Raw genomic sequence first — 14705 nt, forward strand, 5'->3', positions numbered from 1 at the left:
CAGCCTCCTGAGTAACTGGGACTACAGGCACATGCCACTACACCTGGCTACATTTTCTATTTTTTGTAGAAAAGAGGTTTTGCTGTGTTGCCAGGGTTGGTCTCAAACTCCTGGCCTCAAGTGATCCTCCCATCTTGGCCTCCCAAAGTGCTGGGATTACAGGTGTGAGTCACTGCGGCCAGCCCAAAATGTTTTTTGTTGCATAATTGTTGTTCACCAGGCACATGATGTAGTATTTAGGAAATGCTTTTTGAATTAAAGGGATAAAAATAAGGACTACAAGGCCATTATTTTATGTATCTATAATAGGAAACATCACCTGTTAATGACTTCCTGCTCTAAGCTGTACTTTTTAACTTACTTCTCTGATTGTTCAAACCTTCAATATGTTAACTGGCCTTCTTTGTATAAGAAACTGAATTATATGTCCCATTTCTCCCTTCAATTATGCAGTTAATTCCTAGTTACCAAAATAGGAGCATTTTACCAAAACCAAAACAGAAAGCAGGAAAATTACAGGTAATTCAGCCATCAGCATTAATTCTACATTGTTTTAGGATGACCTAATTAAAAATATAGGGCCATGGTCCTCACGCGAAAGAAAAGTATGGAAAACAACAATACAGGAATTATTTTTCTAAAGGAAATAAGTTACGGTTTCATTGACATAAATTTGAAACAGAGGACAGTCTTATATTTCTCTTACTAGAATTCTCTTCAAGAATTTAACCATTCGTGGTCACCTGTGTAGCTATCATCTTTGTCTAAACCACCTTTACCTCTTTCTTAAATTATGGCAACAGCTTTATAACTGGTCTTCCAGTTTTATTTTGTTTTTATTTTTAGACACAGGAACATCCTTTTAAAATCTAGGTCAGATCATATACTCCTCTGCTTAAAATCCTCCAGTAGCTTCCCTTATTATAAAACCAACATCTTTAAAATGGCTTATAAGACACCTGCCACCTTTCAGACTTCATCTTCTACCACTCTGCCCCTCCCTTACTTCACTCTAGCCATACTCTCCTTTTTACTGCTTCTTAAAGATGTCAAGCACACTCCTACCTCAGGGCCTTTGCATTTGCAGTTTATGGAACACACTTTCCCTCGTATCCAAATGGCTAGTTTTCTCTTTGATGTCATATCACACTGTCAATGAAGATCTTTTGTGACCATCCTATATAAAAGGGCAACATACCCCTAGTACCTCCTCACTCTTTTCCTGATGTATTTTTCTCTACAGTACTTCATACAATCTGATATGGCCTAATTCGTTTATTCTTTATCTGTGTTACCCAGGAGCAACATAATAAAGCAGGGATTTTATTTATGTTGTTTATTGCACCTGCAGCACAGAGGTGCATAACAGATACTTAATAACTATTTGTTGAATAAATGAACAAAGGCAAATGATTAGCAATACAGCCATAGCTCTTCTTTCTAGACCATGCTTAGCTGACTCAGACAAGGTATGAGCTACATACTAGATAATCTAAATTATCTTCAGGAGAAAGATAGCTACATAACTGTATGTTTTAACTCACTGTATTATAAAACATCTAACATGCTTAAACTTTGTAAACACTTTTCAGGGAGGAAAAGAGAGAGCTCCAGGTTTTCATCAGAAAACTAAAAGTCTTTTCAGCAGCAAAGAACACTGTAGTTATTTCTATTTACATGGACAGTGTGCCCCTTGGTTAGATAGGAATTATTAGATAGGAATTAGATGAGAGCTAGGAAGTCATGCATTTGTTTTCCAATGTGAGGTCTTAGCATTAGAGTATCGTGTTCTTTTATTCATATAATCTTTATTCCCATTTTAACAACAGTAATACAGTTTGAACCTTTTTTATATAACAACCATTTCAGTCTGAAATCACCAGTGTTATGGCAAGGAAGCGTCCTCAAGATCGCGCACCTATAAAGTTACTGTAGTGTTGCCACCCGTTTTTCACTCTTTACTCCCTTACTTTATCCTGTAAACTTTCCAACCTACATACTCACTACAGCCACATTTGTGTATAATAGTCCTGTTTACTGCTCTACTAAATTCTCCAGCCAAAAGGAGCAAAGAAACAAGTCATAGATGGGCACTGCATCTTTATTACAGAATAGTGCAGGAGCCTCAGCCCACTTACTTAAGATGAGCTCCCATATTGACTCCTTAACTCTGTGTTGCGTGCTAAAATTATAACAAAGCCATCCCTGGAGGAGATTGTATATTATTTGAAGGGCATAGCCATAAATGTTTTGTTTTCCAGGTGATGCTGTATTCACCATGAAATATCTGACTTGTAGATTAACTTGCACATTATTGAGAAACCAAAATTGTTATTGAGTAAATTAAACAATGACAAAGTTAGGTAAGAGTTGTTATCTATCGGTAGGATGTCACTGCTTTTCTTTATTTTGTTTTACTATTTTGTTCAAGATAAAGTTGATAGGGCAGGGAGCAGGGAGCAGTGGCCCACGCTTCTAATACTAGCACTTTGGGAGGCTGAGGTGGGAGGATTGCTTGAGCCCAAGAGTTCAAGACCAGGCTGGGCAACAAAGTGAGACCTTGTGTCAATTATACTTTAAAAATAAAAAGAAAAAAGAAAGATTATGGTTTTAAATGAACATATTACTAGGCAATGGAGTTATATATAACTAGCCTTTTAGATACTTCATTTGCTGGCATAAATGTTATTAGAATACAAAGCTTTTGGACTCTTGTCTTAGAACTGAGAAGTTGTAATTATGTTTTCAAATTCCTTTTTTGGTTCAGCCTTTCATTTCCTGTGAGGGTTTAGACTTTTAATTATGCCTCTTGCAGGTATGATTATAAAAATACAATTTAAGGCTGGGCATGGTGGCCCATGCCTGTAATCTCAGCACTTTGGGAAGTCGAGGCTGGCAGATCGCTTGAGGCCAGGAGTTCAAGACCAGCCTGGCCAACATGGCGAAACCCTGTCTCTACTAAAAATACAAAACTTAGCAGGGTGTGGTAGCACACGCCTGTAATCCCAGCTACTCTGGAGGCTTAGGCATGAGAATGGCTTGAGCCCGGGAGGTGGAGGTTGCAGTGAGCCAAGATTGCACCAGTGCACTCCAGCCTGGGCAACAAAGCAGGACTTTGAGACATACACACACACGCACACACACACACCACACACACACACACACACACACACACACTTTAAGATTGGTGTGGACACCTGGTATCATCTATGCCAGTGGATCACAGCTTGAATCTTGAATCTTGAATACAACAAGATTCAAAATACATCAGAAAAACCTAACAAATTCTGTGGATTCTATACTTTACCAAAATAAAATGGTAATTAAACATCAGGTTTCTTTCACTGGAATTATTTCAACTCAGTATGGCAATGCTTCATTTACCTTTTAATCTGAAGTTCTGAACTGCAGTTACATGGCTTTGAGTTTTCTTTTTTGCTTTTGTTCATTTGTTGTTGTTGTTGTTTTTCTAGAGACGGTCTCTCTCTGTCACCCTCGCTAGAGTACAGTGGCACAATCATAGCTCACTGCAGGCATGAACTCCTGGGCTGAAGCGATCCTCCCACCTCAGTCTCCTAGGTAGCTGGGATTACAGGTGCACACCACCCAGTGAATTTTTTAACTTTTTGTAGAGACAGGTCTTGCCATGTTGCCCAGGCTGGTCTCAAACTCCTGGGTTCAAGGGATCTTCCCACCTTGGCCTCCCAAAGTGGTAGTATTACAGGCATGAGCCACCATACCCTGCCTTGATTTTTCCTTTTAAGAGAGAAAAATATTTATCATAATGGAATTTTAAAAAAAGAGTCTGAGAGACAAAAATCTTTCAAAATAGGAATTCAGAGTTTTGGGGTGGAGTGCATAATAAAATGTTTTATTAGTGGTGAAATGGCTAGGAAGTCTTTGGCCTAGTTTAATGGTTTAATGCCTGCATTTTACAGAAATGGAAAATTAGGCTCAGGGAGAGTCAACGACCTACCCTAAGCTCTCTTGCCTCCTGAGAGGCAGAGCTGAAACCTGGATCCCTGTCTCCTGACTCCCAGTTTAGTGCTCTTTCGCGTTACATGATATAACTCCACAGTTTTCTGGGACCTGAGTAGCCCATCTTATATTACATAGAATACTAATGAATGATAGGGAGAATACTTCTGCCCTACTGCATACACATGTGCTACTGCTACATAGAACAAGTAGCTTAACAAATTTCTTCCAAGTTTTATATCTGTTTCCCAGTGTCTGTTTAGGGACACTTGTCATTGTTAGGAATAGTGAAGCATAACCAAATACTGGTCAAGCACTGCTTGTTTTGCGTTGTTCTTTGTTGAAAATGTATGACTGACACCATTTCCCATCTTTTTCCCTGTTGATGTCACTCTTCTTAGATGTCTTTTCAAAGTGAAGTATTTTTTGGCTTTTGTTAAGAATGGTCACCAGAATTTACTAATAAGAAACCATTCTTAAAAGATACGTCTTTTCATAAATTCAAGATCTGTATGATTTCTTCCAGTGAATATAGCAAAAATTAGCTTTGCTTTTTTACTTTATTGTCACAAATGTGAGGGAGGATGTTTTGGTAGACTCAACATTTATTTAGAGGCAAGAAGTATTAAAAAATTACTACCACTAGCAAGAATTTTTACTGAAACAAAAATATAGATTGGGGACCAAAAAATAACTTAATGTATAAGTTACTTACAGCTTTGGATTGCAGATTTTTGAAATGGTTCTGGGCTAAGATGCAGATGTTAACTTCTGGTCTTTTAAAAAATGAATTTAAAATAGAATAGAATATCTTGGTGCTGTTCCATTTCTCATAAATTGAAAGGATCTGATGTCTTCCAGTTCAGAAGAAAAAAAAATCGCACAGGCCAAAAGAAGAAACAAAAAAACGGGTGGCACTTTCTTTAAGAGACAGCTAATTTGACCCAAGACATCATGTTCACAAAAATTATTTAGCTTTACAGATGATTTTGAATGATAGCTTTGTTTGCCTACAGTTTTGTTTTGTTGTTAGATTGCCTAACGAGTCAATAGCGCAAAGCCTTGTGTCAGTCTTGAAAGCTCTTCAGAAGTGCTGGTTTCTTAAGGAATTTAAAAACCTGAGGGTCATCCTCATTGTTTTTTTTAATGTGTGCATACACACACCTTTAGGCAGTCCTTTGATTATGGAGCCATCTGCAGGAAAATTATCAAGTTGCAACATAGTTAATGATTCTCTTACTGTGTTACTTCAAGTGGTAAATGAGAAGTGACAAACTGCAATTCACGTAGGGAAGGAAAGGGGAAAGAAAGGGACAGCCAAGAGATGCAGGGGCAGGGGGACCCCCCCTCTTTAATTTTTCAAAGAAAACTGCTTTGTCGTTGTGAGTTTGTGATCAAAAGAAACGTGCAATTTGCTTCAGATTTTACATATTCTCAGTAATTATATAGTTCTGTCTCATTTGAAGGGTTATCTAATGATTGCCTTTTAGAAGCTTTGTATGATCTGTCAGTTCTGTTCATGTTGATGTCGGAGGGATACAATTTATTCACCTCAGAAAGAGATTTATTTGCTTTCTTCTCCAGGAGGTATGGCTGTTTTTACATATCCTCATTATAGTCGTATGGTTGTCAAAAGGAAATTAATTGTTCTTTTGCCTTAAAAATGCAGTTTACAGAGGTGATTGTTTCCATTGGCTATATAGGTAGGTGTTTTCTGTTTTGTTAATCATTAAGCATTTCTAAAACTCAATTTAGACTTGAGATATTTGTAAAGAAACAGTATGACATCTGATATCCTGTATCTGAGACAGACGCTATTTTATGAATTTTAGCATGTGTCTTTACATTGTGTTGAGAAGTGTATATTTATATGTGTTGATATCCAAATAAGTTATTTACCAGTACTCAGACTAATCTTTAATATCCACTGGTTATTGGTTTGGTTAAGATTTTGGTAATCACAATTGAGGCTTAATTGGAACAGTTTTTTTCATGGAGTGCCACTTGAGTAAAGATCACAAAAATCAAGTCTTTGATTTTTAAGATTTTCATACAGTGGAAAGATAGTAATTAGAAGGCTTTTTACTGATAGACTGGGTTATCAGCAAGATGGGAGTGATTGTTGAATTAAAAGATGCACTATTGATTTTAGATCAATAACACTATTAACTTTAAATAATATGCATTGAATGCTAGTGGATTGGTTTGAAAATGATGCATTATTTCACTGGAGTTTTATATTCTTGATTTCTTTCTTGCAGAAGTAAATTTTCTAAAATGTGAGGATATTAGAAAAACCAGAATAACAACTTTCTGAACATATTTACAAAGTAGCATATACTACCAGAGAAGTCTGCAATATAATGTTCAGATATAAAACCTGGAATTTTGATGTCTGACTTAATTAGCAAGGCTAACTAAAATACTGCACATTTGAGAGACAGCATTCACTCACATGTCATCTCTTTACAAGGTAGATGAGGAAGAAGAGGCATTGGGGAAGGTTCTTTTGCTTTGAATTTGTTCAGTTGCAGATTCTCTCACTATCCTCTTAAATCTATCCTCACCCCTACCTCCCTTGCAGCCAATAATTTATTACTTACCGAGTTCATCCTTTAGGAAAATATAGTGTTCATTCGTGGAGTTATTCATGTGTCAGCTTTTAAGTTTGGCTTCATTTATTACTCTGAAAGTCTGTTTTCCAAGATTTGATTCACTTAGAAATAATGTTGAAACTTTTCGTGAGGAATATTATGAGTGGGTTTTAGGTTTACTTTTCCAGCCAGATCTTCTGGCTTTTGGGACAGTGGAATGTTGCCTGTTTGTTTTAGAAGAATATACAGTAAGATTAACCACTAACTGGCCTATGTTAACTAATTCAAGATACATAATTCACTTCAATTAAAAATTTTCTTTCCAAAACTATTTAGAATTTTGTGTTACCTTTAGAAACATTCTTGCTTACGGATCATTTAAAAATAGCTATAACTGTTGTAGTGATCCAAATATCAGGATAAAAATGAGCTAATAAAGTAGATAAAAATACTGCGTGGATAACTCTAAGAAATTTTATATAGCTCTCCAAGGAAGATCTGTTTCCCAATCAACAGAAAAGTAAGATGGAAGAGGGAAATTTTGCCTGGAAGCCTGGAATTTAAACTGAAGTTTCCAGAGAGCTCTTACTTGGTAGACTTTTTGAAAACATCTTTTCCTATATCGTCAGTAAAGAAGTAACTTGTTTAGGCAAAGCACGTTATGGCTTTTTCTTGCCTAGTTTAGGTCTGTGCTTAATGACTACTGGAATAGCAGCAAACATAACATCCTGATAACATTTGGGAGGAAAAGCCATATTTGAAAATTGGTGAAATGCAATAATCTTTAAACCAGGAATCATCAGTTTGCTAATAAAAGGTATATGGCTCCAAGTTACGTATTTTGTCAGGGTCCTCTGGCATTTTCACTAGTCATTTTGCTAGTGTGTACAATGATTCCTATCTTGCTGTAAAACTTGGTGATTTTTTTATATTGTTGAACTAGGTGACATGAATATTGAGTCAGATCACATAATCTTAGAGTAACACATAAGTGATTATGTAGCGTTGTGGGTGGAAACAATTCTGGATAAAAAGTGCATGACAGTTCAGAACTACTGTGCAGGCAGCCTGTCTGAAATCAGGTTTAAAAATTGGCCCTGTCTCCAGCTGACTCGTTTTGTCAGACTGAGTCATAGGATTAACCCTTGACATGTTCCTTTAAAAAAAAAAAAAAAAAAAGCAAAGATTAAACAACTGCATTTACTAAAGCAGCACTTGATCCATCTATATGCATTTTTTTCCTGTAATATGATTCTCCTTAGGACAAGAAATTGTGCTACAGCTGTTGCATAGATTAAATTAATTTTTAAAAAATTGGGAGCAGAGAAAAAAAGATTTTATTATACAAGATAATTTATAATGGCAATCAAGCAATGACCATCTACATCAAACAGTTTTAGTTTTTTGGGGGGTAAGGCAGACTTCAAGAAAAATGCTGTTTTGGAGCGACAAACTTAAAAGACTTTTCCATAGCATACAAGTAGAATATAGGGGCATTTTATGTAGATTACCACCAGTTTTGTTGATGATTTACTGTTTTTGAAGAATGAGATTTTAATATCATATAATTATAGATACAGGCATAGAGTTTTGTTGTTGTTGTTTTTTTAAGTTTTTATATCTATGCTCAATTTAGGCAGTAGTGTATACCAAGTGACTACGGTTTGTATTGGCAGGGGAGGTCTTACCTACACATGTACGAGTTTTATATTTATGTTTTTTAGGAGAACAATGAAAAGTAGAAGCAAAAGCTTTTAATTAGTTACTCAACTCTCTTTACAAATTATGTTTCACATTCAGGTTTCATGTTTAACACTAAATCTTACTTAGGTGTTTAATAAACTGATTAGGTTTGTGCAAAAGTAACTGTGTTTTTTTCCATTAAAGAAATTTGATTATACTATTTGGCTTTTACAGTGAATTTCTTTTTTATCTGAATGTATGTTTATTCTCTTCAGATTATCATATAATTGCCTCTAAAATAAAGAACTGGTGTTAAAATATTAAAATTTTCATTGTGCTTTAATAACCAAGGTTGCTTAGTTGGGTTTACATTATGATGTTTGTTTTATCAAACAACATAGTAAGTACCCTCTCTGTTTTCTGCCCGGCATCAGGGAAATGGGCTTAACTGTCATAGGTGGATGTTTTTTAACCAATATAAGAAAGTTTTCTCAGATTGAAGCGATGATTATAAAAATGTTGAAGTATTGTCAGTGCTTTGTGGCTCCCCTCTTCTCCCTATTCCTCCTCAATTTCTATTGAAAAGTAAGTGTTATTTTTAATAATTAATAGAAAAAGAAAATTTTGATTCGATTTTGTTTGATTTTCCTTTTTTTTTGTTTTGAGAGTAGCCGATCTGTCAGTAGAGAAAGACTGTGTATGGAAGACTAAAATTTACTTGAATGGTTTTAAGGCATGCTATTGTTAATTGTGAATCAAAGCTTTTTACACAGTTCTCCAAGGATTGAAATGGGTCTTTGTGGTCTCTCAGGAGGGAGGAAGTTACAAACCACTCCGCAGACTGGCATTTTAATAGTCTGCTGTACAGCGATGTTCTTTTGCAGCTGCTGCTTAGCCTTTTCTATATCTGGAGAGTGTGGGGAGGTTTTATTGTTGTTCCAATACTATCAGCTTTTAAAACATTGTGAAGTTAGTTGCCCTTATTGTCTGATTTAGTTTCGTTACTATAATTTGATCAATATGTTAGTAAAAATGAGGTTGGGGGGATAGGGGGTCCCTTATAGTATATTCCTAGAATATTTCACAGAGGATTTCTGCTTCATGAAAGGTACCTTTAAAAAAAGTGATGTGCCCCCTTTTGCAGCTTGTGAGCTCTCCTCTGATTAATACAATCCCGTTAGAACCTACAAGGCATAGAGGGAAGGATAGTACAAAGAAGTTTTGATGAAGGGAAATGACACAAAAAGGGAAAGTTGCTATTCTGTTTTTCCAGGTTGTAATTACAGCAAACGATTGATTGGAAAACATTTAAATAGCAAAACGTGTCTGTGTAAGAGACACATGTTTTTGTAGACAACTTTTAAAACCTTTTGACTTCGAAGTATGAGTTAGAAATGTCTGTAAGACATTTATTCCCACACTTCTTATTTTTCCTTTCTGAGAAATGTGAGCATTAGCATAAAAATATGAATATACAAAGTATTAAGAACAATAATAAACTTAGAGGAAAGACTTATAGGAAACTGTTTAGTTTATTCTCTCATACTTTATATGAAAGATGTGTGAATTTTTTTTAAGAACAGTCCTATTGCAGGACATTATAAACTTTTGATTGGTGTTGTGTATGAAGAATTCAAGGAGCTTTATAACTGAAAATCTGTATTATTAAGTGTTTCCATTTTAAAAACAGGTAATTTAGTTTCAAGATAATCTATCTGATTTTTGGACTAAGCTTTTTAATAAAATGTGTTCCTTTCAGTTTTCCTCAACATAATTTTTGTAGCTTAAAGTATGGTTTGTTCTAGCTAGTTAAGAGGTATTTGCATGATGGTCTGCTTTCTCCAGGAAGTGATTTTGTACAAGATTTAACTGTCTAGATCCTTCTTGTTACACATGATTCAGTGTTTCCAATTCCTGATTACTTGATCATGTGTTTATCAAAGTTGAAGCAACTTTAGACCATGGCAGATGGTAACGCTGGAGGTGTAGCAAGCTAGGTTTCTCTGCCACAAGTGCTCTAATTTAATTAAAACTAAAAACAGATTAGCAGAAAATCTGTCAGTATGCCTTCCTTTTGTGTGTGTATATATGTATATATGAGACAAATCTAATAATTTCTTGGGTTATTTTTATTCAGGGCATATTTATTTAGCGCTTAAAAGTGACTTGCATTTTTTTAATACCTCAAATTTTGTCTTATTGGTATCCTCCACCAATGCAAGGACTTGATGGAAATTGAAAGAGGTTACTTACAGCATAAACCCTCCCTCTGTGCTCTGTGAGTTGGTTCAGTCCTATTTTGCATAAGTTCCTTTTGAGTAGATCCATGTGTGAATGCATAGTACTGAAGACTTACTCCCTTTGCCTGTGTGGATATATGTCTTGGAGAGAGGCTGTGTGCATTAGCTACAAATAGTAACATTTTCAAAATCAACATGTATTGTGCTTATCCTGTCCCTGGAATGGGCAGCAATTCTTTGATGTATTACTACAATGGGAAAACGGTAAGCCTTTTTCTTTGTATAGCTTCTAACTCACTTGTTTAAAGGAAAGCAGTATACATTACTCGCTTTTTACTAAAATCTGTGAGGTTTTGTTTTATCCTTTTATGCAATGTATTAGATTGTAGATTTCTTTTTTTTTTTTTTTTTTGCGGGGGGACGGAGTCTTGCCCTGTCACCCAGGATGGAGTGCAGTGGCTCGATCTCGGCTCACTGCAACCTTCGCCTCCCGGGTTCAAGCGATTCTCCCGCCTCAGCCTCCCGAGTAGCTGGGATTACAGGCACCCGCCACCATGCCCAGCTAATTTTTGTATTTTTAGTAGAGACGCGGTTTTATCATGTTGGCCAGGCTGGTCTCGAACTCCTGACCTCAGGTGATCCACCCGCCTCGGCCTCCCAAAATGCTGGAATTACAGGCATGAGCCACCGCGCCCAGCCTAGATTGTAGATTTCTTTAGAAGTAGTGTCAGTAAAGTCCTGTCTGCTACATAGCTACTCAATAGTTGTTGGCTTTCATTTTATTTTTAAGATAGTGTAGAAAATAAACTTGAGTTTCTGAGTTGTTATTAGCCTGATATCTTTACTAGCAATGAGCTTGAAAGTACATTTGTTTTTATGTTTTCGTATATTGTGAACAAATCCTTACATAAAATATGTATATACACACATATGTATTGAGAATTATTTGATGCTTTGTAGATGGAAGGAAAAGATGAAAGTCATCTAGGATATTCATAAAAATAACAAGTATGAAGCTCTGGTAATGATTAGGGAAGCAGTCAGCTAGTAAGGGCCGTATTTCCTGTTTAGAGTTTCAGGTCCAGAGCCTGACTTCTCTGGGATACCATCTGTTTCCAATCAAACTAGAATTTTGACCTTGTGTGGATTCATGAAATAAATCACTATTTTTTAAAAGAATGCATTTATACATTTTCCAAAGAATGCACTGTACTTCTGGTTGATTTATAGCAAGCACATGACTAGGTGTTTTAAAATAATACTTTTTTGTTTTGCTAAACAAGAGTTCTATTCTTTAAATTAATTACCTAATGTTAATAATTTACTGTGTTTCTACAAAAAAATCTATAAGCCAGAGGATTTTATATATTCTAAAAAAAAAAGAGTAAACTCGGAAAGTTTCAATAGGAGCTATCTTTGTAAGATACTTGATAAATATTATTAAAAGGTACACTAATGAATAACAGTGTTGGTTTATGTCAGAAACTCAGTGTTTTCCTTCTAAATCTTTCACAAATAATTTTACCCTCAGGTGTCTTATGAAAAAATGCATATATGGGCTTAGTGAAGGGGGGGAGAGGGGAGCATTTTTAATGTTAATGTTTTAAGTTATAGAGAATATTCAATTACATTTTACTAAAATGGGCTTAAAATTAGATATGGTTGTCTCTTCCCTTTTCATCACTTGGAAATGTTTTAAAGTAGCCTATGGCTACAACTAGGATACTAAGAACTAATAAAAGCACTTTTTCATTCACTGATTGCTTTAGTAAGGGCTCTTTGGACTGGGCCAGTGTTTGGTTGTGAACTTTTGGGTAAGCTTTCAAAAAAGATAAGCAAGTCAAAATATCTTTAAACTCATTAAAAAGTGTATGTTCAAGCTGCCCATATAAGCAGAGCTTTGGATAATGTAAGAAGTAGATTTAGATGGATGAGTGAAATTATTTAATCTCTATATAATTTTCTTGCCAGCTGTCTTTCAAATGTGAAAATAATTTTCTTTTGTGTCTGATTTTAAGTAAAACAGTCTGAACATGGTATGTGGGTATGTGTGTGGGGTGTGTGTGTGTGTGTGTGTGTGTGTGTGCACGTGTATAAGTTCAGTAAAATTAATTATGTAGGACCCTGAACCAGACTAACTCAAAATGAGTTTAGATTTTATTCTTTGGAAAGCACAGGTTACTGTATTACATTTCTCTTTGTTCTACATTGGGAGGGGGGTAGGGGGAGCTTTGATAGTGGTATTTCCAGGCTTATGGTAGATGGCATAGCTGGTATGGTAGAGAGCCTGGAAAAATTGATAGTCTGTGCCTAATATAGGTCAAAGGTGACTTTTATGTTCTGGAAAAATATATAAATAAAGAGATGATATGTTGGCTTAGTCCTCCAAATCATAAGACCCTAGACTTGTATGTATTTTATTTTTACCCACCTCTAGTTTTTAAAATTATTCTCTAGTAGTTATTAGAAGTCATTGGCAACATTATTATTTTGTGATGACTTCAGTTTTCTTCAATAAGAAAATCGTGGTATGTAATTACATTGTCTCAAGATTATATAAATGTATTATTTTAGTGTATATTGGGAAATGTCTGCTTGTCAATGCCTTAAAATAAAAACTAGCACTTTCATTAACATTTCTAGACTCTTAAGTGAAATATATGTCTTCACTTAAGTTATAGAAGTTTAATATACTTCTTGTCATGAACAGGTTAAATTTAAACTATTTAATCTCATTTTATAGATTTATTTTAAAATGATAGAACAAAATAATATTTTGAAATACTAATAATAAGTTCACATTGATTCATTTTTAACATCCCATTTCAGGTTTTATGAGAGAGTGACAAACCCTAAGTGGTCCTGCTCTTAAACAGAAAGCTTTCTTTCCCTTTTTTCCAGTTTTTTTTTTTTTAGTTTTCGAGTTGATTGCATATATTTAAGGGTATTTCAGATCTTTTAATAAAACTGAACAAACTCTAGGAAGAGACCAAAGAACTTTTTTATATTTTATTACCTAAAATTGTATGGCCAGTATTTTATTCTTGGATATGTAACAGACTTGGGCATGTAGGTGTAGAAAAGAAAAGCCAAAAATGTTAATGCAGTTTTTCCTACTGCTTAAAAAGAGAAGGGGTTAATGTTTTGTATTATATGTAATTTTTGTGTAGCTGTATTCTTTATCATGTTGTAAGGTATTAATGTGGGTTTATAGTAAGTATGAAAACTAAAACTATTTTGCACCTTATACTGTTTTGAAATATAAAAAATAGTAGAGAACAGTGGGTTTCTGAGGTTCCTTCTTTATAAAGAACTCTGCCTGCATTCAGTTTTCTCATTAATTTGAGTAAATTTTGTCCTTTACACAGAAAGTGAGAAAAAAGTCTTGAGAGCAAAGGAAAGAAAAGTTTTGGGGGAAAAAAAGGACTGCCATTTTTTTTTTTTTTTTTTTTTTTTTTTTTTTTTTTTACTTTTAAGATTCTGGAGTGCCTTACTCCATTTTTCTGACCAGTCTCCATTTTTCTTAGTTTTGGGACTAAAGATGCTACAGAGTATTCCAGGTATAAAAATTGCCACACAAACAGACATGATGGCCTTTTCATTGTATGAGGAAATTATTTTAATCTTCTGAGAAACAACACAGAAATCCAAGTTTTAAAATTCAAGCTAGACGCACATTTTGAATATTAAGCTTCTTTGAATGGAATCTGGGAAAAAAAAGAAACTAATTTGATTGTAAGGGCTATTCTGTGGGAGGAACTGTGCTGGGAACTTTGTTTATCTGATTTAATTTTCACAACCACTGTCATTTAGCTGTTACTAGCTCATTTTATAAATAAGGAAAATGAGGTTCAACCTCACCTATTTTGTAAGTACTGAGGTCAGAATTTGAACCCAGGTCTATCTGTCCCCCAAAAGCACATTTTCTCCTTTGTATCATCCAAGGACATGTAAATTAGTCTCCATAGCAAAGGGCCAAACTGAATTTATCCTGACTACCCATTTACATTAAAATATACTACATTGGATCCAATGTGTATTTGGATATGTAAAAATACATATATATACTACATTGGAAAGAAAACGTAACTGGGAAAAGCACAAGGCCACTCTTACAAATCTTTTGCATGTGTGGTCAGAGTAACAATTTCATGAATACTAATTGATGTGGTTAGTCAAGCAAATTTTTGTCAACTTTTGTTTAAGAATT

General features: G+C 34.9%; 1 protein-coding gene across 34 annotated transcripts in view; it reads left to right on the top strand.

Annotated features, from left to right (window-relative positions):
• Positions 1-14705, top strand: part of TCF12 (transcription factor 12) — a 373221-nt gene that overhangs the window by 290742 nt on the left and 67774 nt on the right. For 8 of the 34 annotated variants that reach the window (XM_047432975.1, XM_047432976.1, NM_001306219.3 and 5 more), the window contains exon 1: positions 10599-10759. The exons of the other annotated variants lie outside the window; for them this stretch is intronic. In XM_047432975.1, the coding sequence (XP_047288931.1) occupies positions 10691-10759 (69 nt within the window). In that variant the 5' untranslated portion in view covers positions 10599-10690. Of the gene's footprint in view, positions 1-10598; positions 10760-14705 lie in introns of those variants that run through there. 34 annotated transcript variants of the gene reach the window in all.

Source organism: Homo sapiens, chromosome 15 (genome assembly GCF_000001405.40).
Source record: "Homo sapiens chromosome 15, GRCh38.p14 Primary Assembly".
NCBI classification, from domain to species: Eukaryota; Metazoa; Chordata; class Mammalia; order Primates; family Hominidae; genus Homo; species Homo sapiens.